The sequence below is a fragment of the Homo sapiens genome, chromosome 6, assembly GCF_000001405.40.
Source record: "Homo sapiens chromosome 6, GRCh38.p14 Primary Assembly".
Taxonomy (NCBI): Eukaryota; Metazoa; Chordata; class Mammalia; order Primates; family Hominidae; genus Homo; species Homo sapiens.
Window position 1 is genome coordinate 10,710,179 of NC_000006.12, and position 22,309 is coordinate 10,732,487.

At 45.5% G+C, this 22,309-nt stretch overlaps 1 protein-coding gene across 2 annotated transcripts, besides 8 other annotated features; it reads left to right on the forward strand.

Moving 5' to 3' along the window:
• Positions 9,949-10,108: a silencer, noted in NCBI's record as "silent region_16902". NCBI's record gives its function as "represses an Ori minimal core promoter by ATAC-STARR-seq in GM12878 lymphoblastoid cells {active_cell/tissue: GM12878}" and the evidence as "EXISTENCE:reporter gene assay evidence [ECO:0000049][PMID:35858748]".
• Positions 10,439-10,578: a silencer, noted in NCBI's record as "silent region_16903". NCBI's record gives its function as "represses an Ori minimal core promoter by ATAC-STARR-seq in GM12878 lymphoblastoid cells {active_cell/tissue: GM12878}" and the evidence as "EXISTENCE:reporter gene assay evidence [ECO:0000049][PMID:35858748]".
• Positions 12,823-12,952: a silencer, noted in NCBI's record as "silent region_16904". NCBI's record gives its function as "represses an Ori minimal core promoter by ATAC-STARR-seq in GM12878 lymphoblastoid cells {active_cell/tissue: GM12878}" and the evidence as "EXISTENCE:reporter gene assay evidence [ECO:0000049][PMID:35858748]".
• Positions 12,823-13,788: a biological region, named in NCBI's record as "H3K27ac hESC enhancer GRCh37_chr6:10723303-10724199".
• Positions 12,892-13,788: an enhancer, noted in NCBI's record as "H3K27ac hESC enhancer chr6:10723303-10724199 (GRCh37/hg19 assembly coordinates)". NCBI's record gives its function as "activates a minimal SCP1, AML or CMV promoter by ChIP-STARR-seq in naive H9 embryonic stem cells {active_cell/tissue: H9 hESC(naive)}" and the evidence as "EXISTENCE:reporter gene assay evidence [ECO:0000049][PMID:30033119]".
• On the forward strand, positions 12,892-20,949 carry TMEM14C (transmembrane protein 14C). Of its 2 annotated transcripts, none has more exons than NM_001165258.2 (6): positions 12,892-13,063; positions 14,378-14,455; positions 14,783-14,859; positions 15,729-15,830; positions 18,462-18,549; positions 20,437-20,949. In NM_001165258.2, the coding sequence occupies exons 2-6, from the start codon at positions 14,436-14,438 to the stop codon at positions 20,486-20,488; spliced, it is 339 nt and encodes a 112-aa protein (NP_001158730.1). In that variant the 5' UTR covers positions 12,892-13,063; positions 14,378-14,435; the 3' UTR covers positions 20,489-20,949. The 2 variants fall into 2 exon arrangements, with proteins under 2 accessions (NP_001158730.1, NP_057546.1); NM_016462.4 differs by having other exon boundaries at positions 14,392-14,455.
• Positions 14,881-15,141: a silencer, noted in NCBI's record as "fragment chr6:10725292-10725552 (GRCh37/hg19 assembly coordinates)". NCBI's record gives its function as "represses an EF-1alpha promoter that drives an FKBP-Casp9 reporter gene in an ReSE screen in HepG2 liver carcinoma cells {active_cell/tissue: HepG2}" and the evidence as "EXISTENCE:reporter gene assay evidence [ECO:0000049][PMID:32094911]".
• Positions 14,881-15,232: a biological region, named in NCBI's record as "Sharpr-MPRA regulatory region 12108".
• Positions 14,938-15,232: an enhancer, noted in NCBI's record as "tiled region #12108; K562 Activating DNase matched - State 5:Enh". NCBI's record gives its function as "activates a minimal TATA promoter and a strong SV40 promoter by Sharpr-MPRA in K562 cells {active_cell/tissue: K562}" and the evidence as "EXISTENCE:reporter gene assay evidence [ECO:0000049][PMID:27701403]".
• Positions 20,950-22,309: the final 1,360 nt, after the last annotated feature.

Genomic DNA, 22,309 nt, shown 5'->3' on the forward strand with positions numbered 1-22,309 from the left:
TGCCTCAGCCTCCCGAGTAGCTGGTAGCTTGAGCCAAGGAGTTTGAGACCAGCATGGGCAACATAGGGAGACTGTCTCTCCCAAAAAATTAGCTAGATGTGGTGACATGCTCCCAGCTACTCAAGAGGCGGAGGTGGGAAGGATGGCTTGAGCCCAGGATGTGGAAGTTACGGTGAGCTGCGACTGCACCACTATACTCCAGCCTGGACAACAGAGCCAGACCCTGTCTTAAAAAAAAGAAAGAAAGAAAAAGACATTATTGGGGATCCATAGGTTTGAATTAGCCAGGCAGATACTAGATACCTGAGACCATCAGGAGAATCACTTCTGATTAGGCAGAATAAGAACGGGCACTGGAATTGCCACTCCATAGGAATAAATTGTCTAGGAAATGAACCAAATTGTGTGCTTAATATCAGTCTACTCCTTTGTTAGCTTATTTCATAAGCTATTAGCATAAATGTAGGTCGTTGGCTTTTTTTTTTCTCAATTCAACTCAAAAATTTTGAGATCATTGTGAGAAATATACACTTGTAAGAAATAATACAGAGATTCCACCCGGTTTTCCCAATGATAACATCTTGCAAAACAAGGGCAATATCACAACCAAGCCAAGATAGGATAGAAATGATATAATCAAGATACAGAACATTTCTATCACAATGATCCCATCTGTTGTCATAAGCCATATTCAGTTTCCTCTTGTGCTCGTATAGCTATGCCCACCTTCATAACCTCTGGCACCAGCGGTCTGTTCTCCATCTCTAATTTTGCCAAAATTGATTGGATTATACTTTCTTTTGGGATTGGCTTTTCACTCAGCATAATCTCTGGGCATTGATCCAGCTTGTTGCATCAATAGTTCTGTTTTTAGTACTGAGTGGGATGTCAGTATAGATGTACCATAGTAAACACCTGTGGAAGGACGTCAGGAATGTTTCCTGTTATTAGGTATCTAAATAAAGTTGCTGTAAACATTTGTGTACAGGTTTTTATGTGAACTAGAGTCTTCATTTCTCTTGGATAAATGCCCAGGAATTCCAAAGTTTTCCAGAATAGCTGTATGGTTTTACATTTCTACCAGTAATGTTTGAGTGATACAGTTTCTCTGCATCTTTCCAGCATTTGATGTTAGTCTTAGCCATTCTGGTAAGAGTGTAGTGATACCTTATTGCGGTTATAACTTACATTACTCTGATAGCTAATGATGTTAATCATCTTTCCATGTGCTTATTTGCCATCTGTGTATCATAATTGGTGAAAAGTCTTTTGCCCATGTTCACATTATATATTTTTTCTTTTTTGCTGTTGAATTTTGAGAGTTTTTTGTTTTTGTTTTTTTTTGAAACGGAGTCTTACTCTGTCACCCACCCAGGCTGGAGTGCAGTGGCGTGATCTCGGCTCACTGCAACCTCCACCTCCCAGGTTCAAGCGATTCTCCTGCCCCAGCCTCTTGAGTAACTGGGATTACAGGTGCGTGCCACCATACCCAGCTAATTTTTGTATTTTTAGTAGAGGTGGGGTTTTACCATGTTAGCCAGCCTGGTCTCGAACTCCTGATCTTTAGTGATCCACCCGCCTCGGCCTCCCAAAGTACAGGGATTACAGGCGTGAGCCACCGCACCTGGCCAAGAGTTCTTTTATATATTGTAGAAACTCAGCCTTTCTCAGATAATGTGGTTTGCAAATATTTTTGCCTAGTCTGTAGCTTGTGTTTTTGTCCTAACAGCCTTTTGCAGAGCTCAAGTTTTTTATTTTGTTGAAATCCAGTTCATCAATTTTTCCTTCCATGGATCATGCTTTTGGTGTGAAGTCCAAGACCTTTGTCTAGCCTTAGATCCTGAAGAGGTTCTATATATTTTTTAAAGGTTTTGTAGAGTTTTACATTTTACATTTAGTATGTGATCCATTTTGAGTGTATAAAGTGTGAGGTTTAATTCCAAGTTTATTTTCTTGCCTATGGATATCGACTTGCTCTAGCGCCTTGTTGAAAAGACTGTTCTTCCTCTATTGAAATACTTTTGCATCTTTGCCAGAATTCAATTGAGCATATTAGTGTGGGTCTATTACTGGGCTCTCTATTGTGTTCTATTGATCTCTGTTGATATTTTTGCTGGAACCACATGGTCTTGATTACTGCAGCTATATAATAAGCCTTGAATTTGAGTAGAATGATTCTCCCCCTTTTCTGTTTTTCAAAATTATTTTCACTATTCTAGTTCCTTTGCCTTTCCATATAGAATTTAGGATAATTCTATCCTTCTCTACAAAAAAAAAATGTACAGTCATGTCAATAATGACAGGAATACATTCTGAGAAATTCCTCATTAGGTGATTTCATTTTGTGTGAATATCACAGGGTGTACTTACACAAACCTGGATGGTAGAGCCTGCTGCACACCAAGGCCATACGGTATAGTCATAATCTTATGGGACCACCATTGTATATGTGATCCGTTATTGACCAAACCATTATTGACCAAAATGTCATTACGCAGCACATGGCTGTATAGATCTTTGATTTTTTTATTATTTTATTTTTATTTTTTTAGACAGTTTTGCTCTTGTCACCCAGGCTGGAGTGCAATTTTGCGACCTCAGCTCACTGCAACTACTGCCTCCTGGATTCACGCAATTCTCCTGCCTCAGCCTCCCGAGTAGCTGGGATTACAGGCACACACCACCACGCCCGGCTAATTTTTTTATTTATAGAAGAGACAGGGTTTCGCCATGTTGGCCAGGCTGGTCTCAAACTCCTGACCTCAGGTGATCCGCCCGCCTTGGCCTCCCAAAGTGCTGGGATTACAGGCCTTAGCTACTGCGCCCAGCCAGATCTTTGATTTCTTTTATCAGTGTTGTGTAGTTTTCAGCATACAAATCTTGCACGTGTTAGATTTATTTGTAAGTATTTGGGGTGGGGGAATTACAAGTAATTTTTTTTTTTTTTTTTTTTTTTTTTGAGATGGAGTCTTGCACTGGTGCCTGGGCTGGAGTGCAGTGACGCCATCTCGGCTGACCGCAACCTCTGCCTCCTTGGGTTCAAGCGATTCTCCTGCCTCAGCCTCCCAAGTAGCTGGGATTACAGGTGCCTGCCACCATGCCCGGCAAATTTTTTTGTACTTTTAGTAGAGATGGGGTTTCACTATATTGGCTAGGCTGGTCTCAAACTCCTGACCTCGTGATCTGCCCACTTTGGCCTCCCAAAGTGTTGGGATTACAGGCATGAGCCACTGCACCTGGCCTACAAGTGATATTTTTAATTTTGGTGCCCATATTCATTGCTAATACATAGAAATACAGTTTATTTTTGTGTGATCTTACATCCTGCTATCTTGCTGAATTCATTTATTCTAGGAGTTGTTTTGTTGGGGGTTTCTATGTAGACAATTATGTTATCTGCAAATATAAATAGTGTTATTTCTATCTGTATTTTTCCCCATTTTCTTGCCTTATTAACTGACTAGAAGATGCAGCACTGTGTTGAATAACAATAGTGAGAACAGACATCTTTGCCTTGTTATGATCTTAGGGGAAAAATATTCAGTCTTTCACTGTTAAGTATAATGCCAGCTGTAGGGTTTTCGTAGATATTCTTTGTCAAGTTGAAGAAAGGTCAACTTGACATCCCCTGTTTCATTCCTGATATTGGTAATTTGTGTCCTCTCTGTTTTCTTTGTCAGTCTTCCTAGAGCTTTGTCAGTTTTATTATCTTTTCAAAGAACCAGTTCTGCCAGGCACGGTGGCTCATGCCTGTAATCCCAGCACTTTGGGAGGCCGAGGTGGGCAGATCACCTAAGGTCAGACGTTCAAGACCAACCTGGAAAACCTGGTGAAATCCTGTCTCTACTAAAAATATAAAAATTAGCCGGGCATTGTGGCAGGCGCCTGTAATCCCAGCTACTAGGGGGGCTGAGCCAGGAGAATCGCTCAAACCCGAGAGGCGGAGGTTGCGGTGAGCCGAGACTGTGCCACTGCACTCCAGCCTGGGCAACAGAGAGAAACTGTGTCTCAAAAACAAAACAAAACAAAGAATCAGTTCTTTGTTTCATTGACTCCTTCTGTTTTCAATTTCATTTTCTGCTCTCATCCTTATTTCCTTCTTTCCTTCTGCTTGCTTTGGGGTTTCTTTTGCTCTTCTTTTTCTATTTTCTTTTTGGTTTGTTTTAGGATTTTTTAGAGACATGGTCTTGCTATGTTGCTCAGGCTGGCCTTTAACTCCTGGGCTAAAGCCATCCTCCCACCTTGGCCTCCGGAGTTGCTGGGACTACAGGTGTGAGCCACCACACCTGGCTTTTTTACTAGGTTCTTGAGGCAGGAGCTTATATTATGTGAGTTTTTCCCTCATTTCAAATGTGTGCTCTTAAGGTTTTTAGCACTGCTTTTGCTACATGCCACTGTTTTTGTATGTAGTAGTGTATCTATCTATTTAAAAGAGACAGGGTTGTGTTATGGTTGCTGAGGCTGGTCTCAAACTTCTGGCCTCAAACAATCTTCTGGCCCCAGCCTCCCAAGTAGCAAACACAGTTTGGTTTTTTGTAATACTTTGAGACATAATTCATACAACATACTATTCACCCATCGAAAGCATACAATTCAATGTTTTTCAGTCTATTCACAGAGTGCAACTATCACAAAAATCAATATTAGGACATTTTAATCACTCCAAGAAGAAACCTTGGACCCCTTAGCTGTCATTCCCCATTTCTCCCTCCCAAACACCCCTAGGTGTATGCAACCACTGATCTGTCTTCCGTATGTGTAGGATTTGCCTAGTCTAGACATTTCATAGAAATGGAATCATTCCATTTGGGGTCTTTTGTGATTTCACTTCACATATTGTTCCAGGGTTCATCCATATTGGTTTTTTGTTGTTGTTGTTGTTTTAGATGGAGTTTCGCTCTTGTTGCCCAGGCTGGAGTGCAATGGTGCGGTCTCGGCTCACTGCAACCTCTACCTCCTGGGTTCAAGCGATTCTCCTGCCTCAGCCTCCCAAGTAGCTGGGATTACAGGCACCCGCCACCATGCCCAGCTAATTTTTGTAGTTTTAGTAGAGACGGGGTTTCGCCATGTTGGCCAGGCTGGTCTCAAACTCCTGACCTCAGGTAATCCGCCTGCCTCGGCCTCCCAAAGTGCTGGGATGACAGGTGTGAGCCACTGTGCCTGGCAAGGGTTTATTCATATTGTAACATATATCAGTATTTCATTTCTTTTTATTGCCAAATAATATTTCATTGCATGGATATAACACAGTTTGTTCATTCTATAGCTGATGCATATTTGTTTCTTCTTGGCTAGTAAGAATAATGTTGCTTTGAACATTCATTTACAAGTTTTTGCATGAACATATGTTTTCATTTTTCTTGGGTACATATATACCTAGAAGTAAAATTGCGGAATCAGATGGTTACTCTTATGTTCAACCTTTTGAGGGACTGCCATACTGTCCTAAAGCGATCACACCCTTTATATTTCCACCACCAGTGTGTGAGTGTTCCAATTTTGCCACACCTTTGCTGACACCTGGTTTTTTGTTTTTATTATAGCCATTCCAGTGGGTGGGGCTTAGTAGCTCATTGTGATTTTGATTTGCATTTCCTGATGGCTAATGATGGTGAGCCTCTTTTATCTTTTTTGAAAAAATGTTTATTACTCCTGACCTCAGGTGATCCACCCGCCTCAGCCTCCCAAAGTGCTAGGATTACAGGCGTGAGCCACCGCGCCCGGCCCTGGATTCACAATTCTAATCCATTGATTTATATGCCCATCCTTATAATAGTACAATACAGTCTTGATTACTATAGGTTTGTAGTAAGTTTTGAAATAAGGAAAGGTGAGTCTTGCAACTTTATTCTTTTTGAAGATTATTTTGGCTGTACTGTGTCCCTTGAATTTTTAATGAATTTTAATATCAGTTTATCAATTTCTGCAGAGTCCAGCTTGAATTTGACAGGAATTGCATTGAATCTGTAGATCAATTTGAGGAATATTATAACCTGAAAAATTTGAAATCCTCCAATCCACAAACAAAGGATATCCTTTTATTTATTTAGGTATTCTTTCATTTCTTTCCACAGTGTTTTTTAGTTTTCAGTTTATAAATTTTGTATTTATTTTATTAAATTTATTTCTGAGGGTTTTATTCCTTTTGATGCTATTGTAAATTGAATTGTTAATTTCACTTTTGGTTTATTCATTGCTACTAATGCTATATATTTTAATGTGTTGTATTTTCATTTTATTCAGGATAATGCACTTTTCTTGGCGGCAGGGGAGGGGGCAAGGTCACCCAGGCTGGAGTGCAATGGCGTGATCTTGGCTCACTGCAGCCTTGGCCTCCTAGAGACAGGCAATTCTCCCACCTCATCCTCCTGAATGGCTGGGACTAGAGGCACATACCAACACGCCTGGCTTTTTTGTGTCTTATAAAGACAGGGTTTTACCACGTTGGCCAGGCTGCTCTTAAACTCCCGGACTCAAGCGATCCTACCACCTTGGCCTCCCAAAGTTCTGGGATTACAGGCATGAGCCACCACACCTACCTAGCCTTAATTTAATTTCTAGATTTTTAATTTTTAGAGCCACCATGCCTAGCCTTAATTTAATTTCTGGATTTTTCTCTTTGACCGACAGATTATTTTAAAATGTTTAGTTTCCAAGTGTTTGGAGATTTTCTTATCTTTCTGTTACTGATTTCTAATTTGATTCCATTGTTGTTGGAGAACACATTCTGTATGATTTCAATTCTTTTAAATTAGTTGAGATTTGTTTTATGGCCCAGGATATGATCTCTCCTGATAGATGTTCTGTGGACACTTGAATATGTATCTTGCAGTTGTTGGGTGGAGCACTCTATAAATGTATATTAGATCCTGTTAGTTGATGATGTTATTGGGGTTTTTCTATATCCTTCCTGACTTCTGGTCTACTGCTTTTATCATCATTTAGAGGGATTGAAGCATCCAACTATAACTCTGGATTTGTCCATTTCTTATTTCAATTCCTTCAGTTTTTGTTTCACATCTTTTGCAGCTCTATTGTTAGGTACATATACATTTAGGATTTCTGTTTTCTTGGTGGATTGACTCTTAAATCTTTATACAATGTCACTGTCTCTGGTCATTTTCTTTGCTCTGAAATCTATCTGATAGTAATGTAGCTACTTCTGATTTCTTTTGTTTGCATGATATATTTTTTCCGTCTTTTATTGCAACTTGCCTGTATCCTTATGTTTGAAGTGAATTTTTTGTATGCAGCATATAGTTGTGTCATATTTCTTAATCCATTCTGTCTTTTAATTGATGTATTTAGACTGTTTACATTTAATGTCATTAATGTTTTAAGACTTAAGTTGGCCATTTTTTTGTTTTGCTGTTTGTGCTGTTTTTGTTTTCTTTTTCCTACTTTCCTATGAGTTATATAAACATTATTTAAAATGCTGCTTTTCTTTCTTTACACTGTTTGTTCGTTTCTTTGTTTTTGAGAGAGTCTTGCTCTGTTGCCCAGGCTGGAGTGCAATGGCGCAATCTTGGCTCATGGCAACCTCCGCCTCCTAGGTTCAAGCAATTCTCCTGCCTCAGCCTCCAGAGTACCTTGGATTACAGGGGTGTGCCACCACGCCTGGCTAATTTTTGTATTTCAGACCTTACTTTAAATCATAGCTGTACCACTGACAAAGACCGTAGATAATACAATTCTCTGAGGTTGAGTTTCTTCAAGTATAAGGTGAGGGGGAGAGTGCGGGAATCATGGTGGATGATCCTAATTAAGGTTTGAGGCTTGCGCCTGCATAGGGAAGAATGAGCCCCTAAAGCCGTTCCTGCAGGTTAAGACAAGTCTCCCTATTAATTGTTCAGGAAGGTCTTCAATTAAATTGAAGGTCTGGCATACTGCAATTCCTGCAAGTTCTTAGTCATTATCAGCGTTGGCTGGTTAGAATCAGCTGTGATAAACAAGGGCTTCAATTTTGCTATCTGCAAGGTAGGTGCTGCCACAAGTGGAAAGTTTGTCTTTAAGAATATACGCCGCGACCGGGCATGGTGGCTCACACCTGTAATCCCGACACTTGTGGGAGGCCCAGGCAGGCAGATTGCTTGAGGCTGGGAGTGTGGGACCAGCCTGGCCAACATGGTGAACCACTGTCTCTACTAAAAACACAAAAAATAGCCAGGCATGGTGCCACACATCTGTAATCTCAGCCGCTCAGGAGGCTGAGCAGGAAAATCACTTGAACCTGAGAGGCAAAGGTTGCAGTGAGCTGAGATCATGCCACTGCACTCCAGCCTGGGCAACTGTTAGAAATGCTTGTTCCCCAGCACCACAAAATAGCACTCAAACATAAATTTAATTCTCTCAGCAAGGCCATTTTCACTTCCTGCAGAAAGGGTGCTTCTCACAGATGGAACAACGGCAATAGCACACTTGAACAAAGGAAAAGCAGAGGGTTTACACATTTGGGTCCTCCTTACTGCTGTGTCCTGCATGCATTGACTGGTGCTGGACCTCGGTCTTAAATTTCCAATTTGCTAACAACCTGAAACTTTCCTAAATAGTTAGGTGCAAGGGAGGATAAAGGAGACTAAGTTGCTTATGAAAGGTTTAAGGAAATAATAACATTTCCAAATAAGGAAGGGGCATAAAATATGAGCTGAGACTTGCTTGGGCCTGTCCAGACATGCCTGAATAAGCCAAAGCAACTAACTGGGCTAAATCGTAAGAACTAACAGTTGATAGCAGGCTTTGGAGTAAGATGTGATTATTCCTGGTGTCTATTTTTAAACCAAGACAAGGTTTGAAGAGAAGCTTTTCTACTTTCTACAACAGCAAAACTCCATCTCAAAAAAAAAAAAAAAAGCAAAAACCATGCTACAAAGGCCAGCAAAGCAGCTCATGCCTCTAATCCCAGCACTTTGGGAGACTGAGGTGGGCAGATGAGATTAAGAGTTTGAGACCAGCTGGGCCAACATGGTGAAACCCCATTGTGTCTGGACTTTGTGGGTTCGTCTTGCTGACTTCAAGAATAAAGCCACAGACCCTCATGATTGAATGTTACAACTGTTAAAGATGGTGGGTCCAAAGTTTGTTCCTTCCGACATTCAGACATTATCTAGTTTCTTCCTACTGGTGGGTTCACGGTCTCACTGATTTCAGGAATGAAGCTGCAGGCCTTTGCAGTGAGTGTTACACCTCTTAGAGGTGGCACATCTGCAGTTACTTGTTCTTTCTGGTGGGTTTGTGCTCTCTGCTAGCCTCAGCAATAAAACCACCAACCTCTGCAGTCAGTGCTACAGTTCATAAAGGTGGCACATCCAGTTTTTCATCTGCTTTCAGTGGGTTTGTGGTCTCACTAGCTTCAGAAGCAAAACTGTAGCCTTATCACGGTGAGTATTAAAACTCATAAACATTGCACGGATCTAAAGAACTATCAGCACCAACATTTATTGCAAAAAGCAAAAGAACAAAGCTCTGTCAGCCCAAGAAAACACCCAAGCACGTTTCCCCTACTGGCTGTGGGTGGCCAGTTTTTATTCCCTAATCTGGCCACACCCACATCCAGCTGATTGGTCCATTTTACAGAGTGCCGATTGGTGCATTTGCAAACCTTTAGCTAGACACAGAGTGCTGATTGGTGCGTTTACAATCCTTTGGCTAGATACAAAAGTTCTCCAAGTCCTGACCAGATTAGCTAGACACAGAGCGCTGATTGGTGCGTTTACAAACCTTTAGCTAGACAAAAAACTGCTGACTGGTGCATTTACAATCCTTTAGCTAGACACAAAAGTTTTCCAAGTCCCCACCCGTCCCAGAAGCCCAGCGGGCTTCACCTCTCGCTGGGAGTTGGGTGGGACTTTTTGGCAACTAGCCTGGGCACTCCGGGAGCTCCTCCCACACAACCAAGAGGAAAAGAGGAGGAGAGAGACAGAGACCCGCCATCGTGGCCAACGACCCCGCCAAGAGGGAACGGCGGTCCACGCACTGGACCCAGCCTCCGATCAAGCCCAGCAGGGGCCGGCAGGTCGCGCCAAGTGCGGGGCCCACCGAGCCTGCGCCCACCTGGAACCCGGGGCAGCGCAGCCCCAGTCCCCGCCTGCGCCTCTCCCTCCACGCCTCCCCACGAGCAGATGGAGCCGGCTCCGGTCTCGGCCAGCCCCAGGGAGGGCCCCGCACAGCGCAGCGGCGGGCTGAAGGGCTCCTCGAGCCTGGCCGATGCTAAGGAGGCACCGAGAGCAAGCGAAGGCTGCTAGTGAGAGGTGACGACGTGCTGGCAGTCCTCAGAGCCCTCGCTCTCGGCGCCTCCTCTTCCTGGGCTCCCACTTTGGAGGCACTTGAGCCCTTTAGCCCACCGCTGCACTGTGGGAACCCCTTTCTGGGCTGGCCAAGGCCAGAGCTGGCTCCCTCAGCTTGCAGGGAGGTGTGGAGGAAGAGGCGCGAGCGGAAACCAGGGCTGCGCGCGGCGCTTCCGCGCCAGTTGGAGTTCCGGGTGGGCGTGGGCTTGGCGGGCCCCGCACTCGGAGCAGCCGGCCGGCCGGCCCTGGGCAATGAGGGGCTTGGCACCCAGGCCAGCGGCTGCAGAGGGTGTACTGGGTCCCCCAGCAGTGCCAGCCCACCGGCGCTGCGTTGGATTTCTCGCGGGGCCTTAGCTGCCTTCCGACGGGGCAGGGCTCGGAACCTGCAGCCCGCCATGCCTGAGCCTCCCACCACCTCCGTGGGCTCCTGTAGGGCCCGAGCCTCCCTGATGAGCACCACCCCCTGCTCCACAGGGCCCAGTCCCATCAACCACCCAAGAGCTGAGAAGTGTGGGCGCAGGGCGCAGGACTGGAAGGCAGCTCCACCTGCAGCCCTGGTGTGGGATCCACTGGGTGAAGCCAGCTGGGTTAAGTCTGGTGGGGAGGTGGAGAACCTTTATGTTTAGCTCAGGGATTGTAAATACACCAATTGGCACTCTATATCTAGCTCAAGGTTTGTAAACACACCAATCAGCCCCCTGTGTCTGGCTCAGGGTTTGTGAATGCACCAATGGACACTGTATCTAGCTACTCTGGTGGGGACCGTGGAGAACCTTTATGTCTAGCTTAGGGATTGTAAATACACCAATCGGCACTCTGTATCTAGCTCAAGGTTTGTAAACACACCAGTCAGCACCGTGTGTCTAGCTCAGGGTTTGTGAATGCACCAATCCACACTCTGTATCTAGCTACTCTGGCAGGACCTTGGAGAACCTTTGTGTGGACACTCTATAGCTAATCTGGTGGGGACGTGGAGAACTTTTGTATCTAGCTCAGGGATTGTAAACGCACCAATCAGCACCCTGTCAAAACAGACCACTCGGCTCTACCAATCAGCAGGATGTGGGTGGGGCCAGATAAGAGAATAAAAGCAGGCTGCCCAAGCCAGTAGTTGTAACGCACTTGGGTTTTCTTCTATGTGGAGGAGGCTTTGTTCTTTCTCTTTTTCTTTTTGCAACAAATATTGCTGTTGCTCGGTGCTTAGGTCCTGTGTTGTCTTTACAAGTGGTAACGCTCACTGCGAAGATTTGCAGTTTTGCTCCCAAAGCTACGAAGACCACGATCCCACCGGAAAGAACAAACATATTCCAGACGCACTGCCTTAAGAGCTTTAACATTCGTTATAGAAGTCTGTAGCTTTGCTCCTTGAGCCAGTCCAAAGCTAGGGAGACCACGATCCCACCGGGAAGAACAAACAATTCCAGACACACTGCCTTAAGAGCTTTAACATCCACCACAGAGGTCTGTAGCTTTGCTCGTTGAGCCAGTGAGACAGCAAACCCACCAGCAGAAAAACTCCCTGAATACTTCTAAACATCGGAAGAAAAACTCTAGAGACACTGCTTTTAAGAACTAACACTCATCGCGAGGGTCTGCAGCTTTCTCAAGTCAGACCAAGAAGCCATCAATTTTGAACACACTGGCACGTTGTGATCTCTCACTATCTCCACTAAAAATAACAAAAATTAGCCTGGCAGCCAGGGGTGGTGGTACAGGCCTATAATCCCAGCTACTCAGGCAGCTGAGGCAGGAGAATCAGTTGAACATGGGAGTCAGAGGTAGTGGTGAGACAAGATCATACGCTGCACTCCAGCCTGGGCAATAGAGTGAGACTCCACATAAAAAAAAAAAAAACTTGGCTGGAATTCGCTTTATTCACTGACAATTATATTGGTCAGATTTGTGTATGTTGATACTTGTAGGGGATGGAGAGGGAGAAGTCAACGATGACAGCAAATTTTAGTGTAGAGCAACTAAGAGAATGGTGGTGCAGGAAACGGAATAGGAGTGACTCCAAGTGGGAATGGAGATAATATGCTGTGGATATTTTGGGTCCACAGAGCTGGGTAAAAATCAGGTTTAACTTACTCCCCATCCCCCTTTAAGATGCTTCTCAAGCAGCCTCACTCCCTAAAACAAACGGATATTTGGCTTTGAGCCACATTATTCTGCAGCCCCCGTATTTTCTTCCAGGCAGGCCCTTCCTGGTGTAGACAAGATCGGGCTTGAGTGACACTCCTCCCTGATGGCCTGCATCTGGTTTATACCCTGTAACTTGTTCCTCTATTAATGGGGTCCTTCAAAATCCAGCCTCAGATTCCCTGGTCCCGCAGCGGTGGCCTCACCTCTGGCGTGGCCGAGCTCACGTGGTCCGGCTTGTGCAAGTCCCAGGTCCAACTCCGGGTCTCCTGCTTTTGGCCACTCAGGATTGGACCTGGGACTGATACTGGTCGGCCCTGCAGGCGCTGCGGACAGGGGAAGCACAGAGATTCCCCGCCGCGTTCCCTGGACTCAGGAGCTCGCCGCGATGCCCCGCCCCACTCTCCACCCGCTGAATGCAGGGCGCATGCTGCTACTTGGCGGCTCAAGCCCCGCCCGCACCGTCCCCATTCTCTGACCGCCCCTCTCCCGGTACACTGCGCAGGCACAACAGAGCCGCTCCCCTCTCCTCGCCCCGCCACCGGGACGGAGAGCGCCCGCCGCTGCATTTCCGGCGACACCTCGCAGTCATTCCTGCGGCTTGCGCGCCCTTGTAGACAGCCGGGGCCTTCGTGAGACCGGTGCGAGTATTTGGGGATTATTCTTATTTTCTGCCACTTTTAACTTTTAGGGATTATTTAGGAGTTTCACGGCCGTCTGCTTTTCGTCCCCCCGATTCAGCGGGCCTTCAGGCCGTGTGGTCGGTGCTTTTCTCGTTGGGTATTTTCTGCTTTTAAAAGAAGTTGTGGATGCGCGGAGCCCCTGGGCTCCTGAGGCAAAGGCTTACCCATGTAGCATAGTGTTGCCTCGTTTCTTGGTGATTTTCTTGCTCCATCTCTTTAAAAGCCTCCCTTACTCGGTGCCGTCTCGAGTTAAGAACTGTGGGCAAGATCCCAAGCCCGCTGCCCTTCCCTGTTTTATGGAAACTTAATTCTTTTTTTTTTTTTTTTTGTCCTTGAGGGAGGGACTTGCTCTGTCGCCCATGCTTGAGTGCAGTTGCCTGAATATGTCTCATTGCAGCCTCTGCCTCCTGGGCTCAAGCCATCCTCCCACTTCAGCCTCCCAAGTAGCTGGGATTTACAGTCGCATATCACCATGCGCGATTAATTTTTTTATATTTTTTAGTAGACAATGGGTTTCACTATGTTGGCCAGGCTGGTCTTGAACTCCTAACCCCAGGTGATCCGCCCGCCTCGGCCTCCTAAAGTACTGGGATGACAGGCGTCAGCCACTGCGCTTGGCCTAATTCTTTAAACAGAATAAACGGGGTATGCATTGCTTTCATCTTTTGGCTCACTGGACACAGGATACTTTCTGTAAGAAAATAGAAGCTGTTTTTCCAAGGGTGTAGTGTCACATGTGAATATGACCACTGTTTCCGTATATTTTATCCTCTCCTACTACTGCCCTCCTAACAAGAACTGTGAGTTGGACGCAGAAGTTTCTAAAAAAGTTGAGCTTTGAAATTGGCTGTTGCAGCAGGGATGAAAAGCAACACCCCTACCTCCCCTCAAAAGAGACATTAAAGTAGTTGGATTAAGGGCACGGGAGTATTTGCTTTTGAATTTAGTGATAACATGGGTAGCTGATGAAATGACTAACACATTCCCTGATTTTAGAGCTGGTCAGTGGATCTTGCTGAGTTTCCCGTGGGCCTATGTGATTAAAACTGAGGTTTTCATGACAATGGTCAGCATCTGTTCAGGGTTTACTAGGTGCTAAGCACCTTTACATGTGACATCCATTGAATGCTCACTACAGCCCCAGGAAATCGGTACCAGTGTTATCCTCATGGTACAGTGAAGAATACTGAGACTTAGGTTGCGTAGCTTGCAGGTTGGACACACTTCTTTCTGACTGCTGGAGAGCTGTGCTTTTAACTACCTCTGATCCAGCTTGTTTTCTGCAGGTGCAGGCCTGGGGTAGTCTCCTGTCTGGACAGAGAAGAGAAAAATGCAGGACACTGGCTCAGTGTGAGTGCAGTAAATGGGTATGGAGTAGCCAGGAGCTTCTGGAAACCAGAGTTCCTTTCCTTAGCTGAAAAGAACCTTAAGAGTAGACTGCCTGGGATGGCATGGGGGATGGGAGGATCACTGGACCTGTGGGCCAGAAACTTGGGTTTGAGTCCCAGCTCTGGCTTTGCTGAGTTGTGTGACTCTCAGAAAGTCATCCAACCTCTGTGGTCCTTATTTTCAGTGATAGGACCTGTGGGGAATGATTACCTTTTAGTCCCATCCTATGACAGTATGGTTTGTTTTCAAAGCCAGGTTAGCACTGACTTCTCCCTCTTGTGTTTTCAGAGTGCCTTTGCATTGGTTTGGCTTTGGCTACGCAGCACTGGTTGCTTCTGGTGGGATCATTGGCTATGTAAAAGCAGGTAGGGTTTTGTTGTTACTTAGCCTCTTAACATCTTCACGTTGTCCCAGTGAAATGTGAATGCCCGTGTCCCTGAGAAGCAATCTCATTTGAGTCAGGTTTGCTGTGGGTCCCCAAGCTGGAGTGCAGGCTTCCTTGTCAGTCTTGCAGCTCCTGCCCTTGCCCTTTGGTTATCTGGTGAAGCTGAGCCAGGCCTCTTTTGGAATTACTTGTTTTTGCCTCTTTATCTACAGATAGGCAGGGGCGGTTGTAGTTTGTTATTATCGTTGACTGCCATTCATCAGCCACGACCCCCAAGTGCCATCTCTGGGCTCAAGTAGGAGGAAACCTCTGGCCTACACAGACTGGTATTTTGAACTCTCCTCGTTAGGCCAGGCAGGGGTGTGTCAGTGGCTGTGCTTGTGTTTGCCCCCTAGTCCTTGCCTGCATTCCCACCCCAACCCCTGCACCAGAATTCTTCTTCTCCAGGTCTTTGTATTTTTTTAATTGACTGGCCTTATCTCCTTCTCCTTTTGTGATTTGCTGGAGGTCCTGCCTGTACACAATTCCAGTCCTTCATGGTTGATCAGGCCTGATTAGAAAGAAGGCCTAGCCACAGTTCCATCTAAGGAGGGAAGATGGCCTTCTTTCCTTTCCTTAGATGGAAGTGCCCTGCCTATTAGAGGAGAGAAAAATGGGGTGGGAAGACCCTGACTTCTCTGAGAAGATAGCACACTCTCTGTAACGTCTTCCTGCTTGAGTCCACCTTGGCTATGAGCTGTGTTGAGAGTTCTCTGTGCTGTCCTCCTTTGTAGGGCAGCGGTCTGGGGGATTCCGTTAGTGAAATAAGTGCCTGACATTACAATGCAAGCTGTGTTTGCTTCCCTCTAGGCAGCGTGCCGTCCCTGGCTGCAGGGCTGCTCTTTGGCAGTCTAGCCGGCCTGGGTGCTTACCAGCTGTCTCAGGATCCAAGGAACGTTTGGGTTTTCCTAGGTATGTCTGCTTTGGCGTCTCCTTAGGGCAGCTATGTATCCAGAATACTCTTTTCCAAAAGACCCTGGTTTGGTGGGATGGGGTGAGTTCTTCACACTTCACTTACGACAATTTCACTGCTTCTACCAAGTCCTCAGAAAGTTTTAAAATGAGGGTGCAGAGGCAGGAATTATGCTGGTTTCTGTTTATCTTTTACATACAGAACATGGAAGGATTTTCATAGCTCGTGACTATATTTACCCAGTAGCATTAAAATTCTATCAGGCAAATGTATCAACCGTTGAGGTTGCCCACTGAAGACCTTTGGCTTCAGCATCACTAAACTATCACACGTCTGGGTTAGGTTTGCATCTGAATTGCGATTTCCCCATTTGAAAATCACCTCTTTAGCAGTTAGCTAAATGTGACTGCAGTGACTCACACCTGTAATCCCAGCACTTTGGGAGGCCGAGGCAAGTGGATTACAAGGTGAGAAGTTCGAGACCAGCCTGACCAACATGGTGAAACCCCATCTCTACTAAAAATACAAAAATTAGCTGGGGGTGGTGGCGGGTGCCTGTAGTCCCAGCTACTTGGGAGGCTGAGGCAGGAGAATCACTTGAACCTGGGAGGCAGAGATTGCAGTTGAGCTGAGATCACACCACTGCACTCCAGCCTGGGCGACAGAGCAAGACTCCATGTCAAAAAACAAAAAACATAGGCATAGAAGCAGGACTGGAAAGGTACCCTGTAAGCAGCACGGACAGTGAGTGGTGTGGGGGACCGAAGAGTCCTCCTTATCAGAGTGGCTTTCAGTACATTTCTGTGGGGCTCCACCCATGTGTCAGACACTGCTAGGAGTGTGGGTTCCTTGCGGTCTCTACAAACCCCGTGTGAGAATGAGTGCCATGTGGGAGGGAGAAGCCATGTGATCTGTACATATCAGCTGGGGTGGGGAAGGGAGGTCCGTGATGGCTAATGGGGTGTGCTGGGGAAGGAGGTGTGTCCAGGTCCCAGCTCTGCCTAACAGCTCCCTCCCTCATGCTCCAGAATGACTTGAGCCTGCATTTTCCCTTTCTCTGATGCTACTCTACTCAGCAAATGACCTCACGCCTATTGTAGGGAAAAAACAGCAGCCATCAGGTGGGGACTCCTGGAGCCTTTAATCTCCAAGCCTCCCCTCGTCCTGTTTCCCTCCTCTCCAACACCAGTGTCTTCCTCTGGGCTTTGGGTGTCTTCTCCCTGATCTTCTCCAGACCTTTACACTGGCCAGGATCCTGTCTTGTATTTGTATTCCTCCTTTTAGGTGGATCCCCGCATTGATATTCAGATGTGCTTGTCTCCTTCCCCTTCATAAACTTCCCTTTTTTTGAGATGGAGTCTCACATATTGCCCAGGCCAGAGTGTAGTGGCACAACCTTGGCTCACTGCAACCTCCACCTCCCAGATTCAAGCAATTCTCCTATCTCAGCCTTCTAGGTAGCTGGGATTCAGGCGTCCACCAACATGCCCGGCTAATTTTTCTATTTTTAGTAGAGACAGGAGTTTCGCCATGTTGTCCAGGCTGGTCTGTAACTCCTGACTTCAGGTTTGGGAGGCCAAGGAGGGTGGATTGCCTGAGCTCAGGAGTTTGAGACCACCGTAGGCAACGTGGTGAAACCCGGTCTCTAATTTAAAAAAAAAATTAGCCAGGCGTGGTGGCGGACGCCTGTAGTCCGAGTTACTCAGGAGGCTGAGACTTGAGAATTGCTTGATCCCAGGAGGTGGAGGTTGCAGTGAGCCAAGATCACGCCACTGCACTCTAGCCTGGGCGACAGATCAAGACTCTGTCTCAAAAATTAAAAAAAAAAATGTGACTCTGTTCATGTGTCCTTCTGCTTAGCATCCTTTAATAGCTTCTCATTGTTCTTACGATGAAAACCCAAACCCCAGTATGGCCTTCAAGGCTCCATGTGGTCTGGCACCTCTTACTCACAAACTGCATCTTGACTTCTGTGCCATGCTGCCCTTTTAGGGTGAATGTCCCATGCTCCCTGTCACCACAGGGCCTCTGCATATACTGTCCCCTCTGCCTGGAATGGGCCTTCCCATCCTTCAGCTCATTAATTCCTGCGTAATTTCAGATCTCAGCCAATCTTCACTTTTTTGTCTAAGCCTTTTTATTCGTGTGAGTCTTTAAAGTCTGTCCCATCAGACCTGAAGCACTGTAAAAGGGCAAAGACAGTTACAATAACCTTTGTATTCTCCAGCTCCTAGCACAGCACTTGACATGTAGTAGGTGCTTCGACAGATACCCAGTGGGAATTGTGTGCAGGGTAGAGGAAGTAGCGTCTGCAGGGCGTGAGAAACAGTAGCATTTTGGAGAAAACTAACATATTGATGGCTAAAGTGTGGGTTTTGCAGAAGACAAGTGGTAAGAGATGAAGCTGGAAGGGCAGGCAGGACCCAGGCTGTGAAGGGCCCTATTTGGCCAATATTGGTACTAGGACCCATAGGATGTGGGCAGTCAGTAGTCTCCCCGACTTGGGGAAAGAGGAATAAGCATAGGATGAGGCGTGAGCCTTGAGAGATGGGTGGGGCTTGGCCCACTTCTGATTCCCCTGCGTAGAAGATGTAATGAGTTTTAACACTTCTTTATATGTTTTTCATCAGCTACATCTGGTACCTTGGCTGGCATTATGGGAATGAGGTTCTACCACTCTGGAAAATTCATGCCTGCAGGTTTAATTGCAGGTGCCAGGTACTTTCATTCTATTACTCTTCTTTACCATGTAGAGTTCAGTTTATTCCCCAGGATACCTTATGCATTCAAAACCTTACTTGTTTCAGGATATCTGATGCTATGTATCAACTGACATTTGATATATACACTAATAGGAAATGTTTCAAAAACAATAGCTAGTTTAATGTCAAAATGGCATGAGTATATCCATTCACCGTGGAAATGGGTTTGTTCTCATATTTGCTTTCCAGTCCATCCAAACTCCTCCCTATATGGTGGCAGAAGTTTTAGTGCAAAGCCATGACTGCAGCCTTTTGTGTGACTTGCATGGAAGATTTGGGGGCCCCATATTTCTTAGATGTGTAGATGTCTTTTACAGAAAATTTTGCTAAAAGAGAATTTTGATTGAATCCTGTTTTCTATTTTTTGTTGTTGTTATTGAGACGGAGTATCACTCTGTCACCCAGGATGGAGTGCAATGGCGTGATCTCCGCTCACTGCAATCACCATCTGCCTCCCGGGTTCAAGCGATTCTCATGCCTCAGCCTCCGGAGTAGCTGGGATTACAGGCGTGCACCACCATGCCCAGCTATTTTTGTTGTTTTGGTAGAGATGGTGTTTCACCACATTGGCCAGGCTGGTCTGGAACTCCTGATCTTGTGATCCGCCCACTTCGGCCTCCCAAAGTGCTGGGATTACAGGCGTGACCCACTGCGGCTGGCCCTGTTTTCTAATTTTGATTATAAAACCTAAACCAAATTGTGGTTTTTAAAAAATTTAGTTGTGGCTGGGCACAGTGGTTCACACCTGTAATCCCAGCAATTTGGGAGGCAGAGGCAGGCGGATCACCTGATGTCAGGGGTTCAAGACCATCCTGGCCAACATTGCGAAACCCCGTCTCTATGAAAAATACAAAAATTAGCTGGTTATGGTAGTGGGCACTTGTAATCCCAGCTACTCGGAAGGCTGGGGCAGGGAGAATTGCTTCAACCTGGGAAGCGGAGATTACAGTGAGCTGAGATCATGCCACTGCACTCCAGCCTGGGGGACAGAGCAAGACTCCATCTCAAAAAACAAACAAACAAACAAACAAAACTTTAGTTGTAGGCCAGGTGTGGTGGCTCATGCCTACAATCCCAGCACTTTGGGAGGCCAGAGCGGGCGGATCACTTGAGGTCAGGAGTTCAAGACCAGTCTGCCCAACATGGTGAAACCCCATCTCTATGAAAAATACAAAAATTAGCCGGGCATGGTGGTGCACACCTGTAATCACAGCTACTTGGGACACTGAGTCAGGAAAATCTCTTGAACCTGGGAGACGGAGGTTGCAGTGAGCCGAAATTGTGCTGCTGAACTCCAGCCTGGGCAACAGAGGTGAGTGAGACTCCATCTGAAAAAATAAAAATAAAAAACCTTCTCAAAAACAAAAAATTTAGTTAAGTATCATAAAGACATCCTGAAGGTAGGGGAATTTTTAAAAATCTGTTTTGGAGAAAGATTACATACTCTGATCATAGTTGTGATGCTACCAGTATAATGTTTTATACCTGAAGCAAGGAAGTCAGTGTGGAGCAAGGTCTAGAGCAGTAAACTGAGACGCTGGAGAGTCTACCATTAATCAGATCTGTGATGGTGGGGAGGCCTTGCTCTCTCTTGCCTCCATTTCTTCATCTCTTCAAATTATTGGCAGTTGGGTTAGGATCCAGCTCATGTGTGCTATTTTAAGACTCCCTTGGCTTGCTTTTTCTCTGGTTCCTCCAGGGATGGAAATTTACCCCTGACCACTCTTGCCTTAGTACCTCCTCCCCCACGCAGTTGTGAGGAACCAGCAGTTTAGTTCCTTAAAAACATAGTTGCCTGTTCTGTCCTTTACCTGACATTTTCTATCTTGTTTCTTTTAAACAGTTTGCTGATGGTCGCCAAAGTTGGAGTTAGTATGTTCAACAGACCCCATTAGCAGAAGTCATGTTCCAGCTTAGACTGATGAAGAATTAAAAATCTGCATCTTCCACTATTTTCAATATATTAAGAGAAATAAGTGCAGCATTTTTGCATCTGACATTTTACCTAAAAAAAAAGACACCAAACTTGGCAGAGAGGTGGAAAATCAGTCATGATTACAAACCTACAGAGGTGGCGAGTATGTAACACAAGAGCTTAATAAGACCCTCATAGAGCTTGATTCTTGTATATTGATGTTGTCTTTTCTTTCTGTATCTGTAGGTAAATCTCAAGGGTAAAATGTTAGGTGTCAGCTTTCAGGGCTCTGAAACCCCATTCCCTGCTCTGAGGAACAGTGTGAAAAAAAGTCTTTTAGGAGATTTACAATATCTGTTCTTTTGCTCATCTTAGACCACAGACTGACTTTGAAATTATGTTAAGTGAAATATCAATGAAAATAAAGTTTACTATAAATAATATTTCCTATGGGGTCTTCATTGCCAGAGCTGTCTAGTTCATAGAATGAGATATTGCTAGCAGCAAGATATAGAAACATGAAAGTATTTTGTTAATATTTAGAAATTACCTATTTTGAATAACTTAAGGACCAAGGAAACTTATTTGATTGTACATTGCATTGAAGCTTGTTTCAAAAATGACCTCTGAGGATTTTTTTTGTTTTTCAAGAGACAAGGTCTTTCTCTGTTGCCTAGGCTGGAGGGCAGTGGTGCAATCATATGTCACTGTAGCCTCAAACTCTTGGGTTCAGTCATCCCACCTCAGCCTCCTGAATAGCTGGTACTACTGGTGCATACCACCACACCCAGCTAATGTACTTTTTTTTTTTTTGGAGATGCAGTCTTGCTCTGTTGCCCAGGCTGGTCTCAAACTCCTGGTCTCAAGTGATCCTCTCGCTTTGGCCTCCCAAAATGTACTGGAGTAATAAGCATGACCTACTGTACCTGGCCACTGAGGTTTTCTTCTTTTTTTTTTTTTTTTGAAACGGAGTTTCGCTCTTGTTGCCCAGGCAACCTCTGCCTCCCGGGTTCAAGCCATTCTCCTGCCTCAGCCTCCCAAGTACCTGGAATTACAGGCATGCGCCACCATGCCCGGCTAATTTTGTATTTTTAGTAGAGACGAGGTTTTCCATGTTGGTCAACCTGATCTCAAACTCCCGACCTCAGGTGATCCGACTGCCTCAGCCTCCCAAAGTGCTGGGATTACAGGTGTGAGCCACCATGCCCGGCAGCCACTGAGGATTTCTAAAGTTAGGACTGTGGGCTGGGCACGGTGGCTCACGCCTGTAATCCCCACACTTTGGGAAGCCGAGGCAGGCGGGTCACAAGGTCAGGAGTTCGACACCAGCATGGCCAATGTGCTAAAACCCCATCTCTACTAAAAATACAAAAATTAGCCAGGTGTGGTGGCGGGCGCCTGTAGTCCCAGCTACCAGAGAGGCTGAGGCAGGAGAATCACTTCAACCCGGGAGGCAGAGGTTGCAGTGAGCCAAGACCGCGCCACTGCACTCCAGCCTGGGCGATGAGACTCTATCTCAAAAAAAAAAAAAAAAAAAAAATTAGGATTGTGTAGCAAAATTAAAAGGTGATTTTTTTGTTGTAATTAGTTCATACATAAATGTGAAACTAGAAAACCCATCTAGAGCTTGAATCACCTAGTTTGGTGTCTTTGTTGGACACATTAACTGGATACTGGTACCGTTTCAACACGAAGAATTAACTCAATCTGGTAGCCCTTGCTTTAGTTTTCATTCCGTCTTTAAAAAGGAAAACATACCATGTTCTCTACCCTGTTACTGCTTCAGAGTTTAATTCAGGCA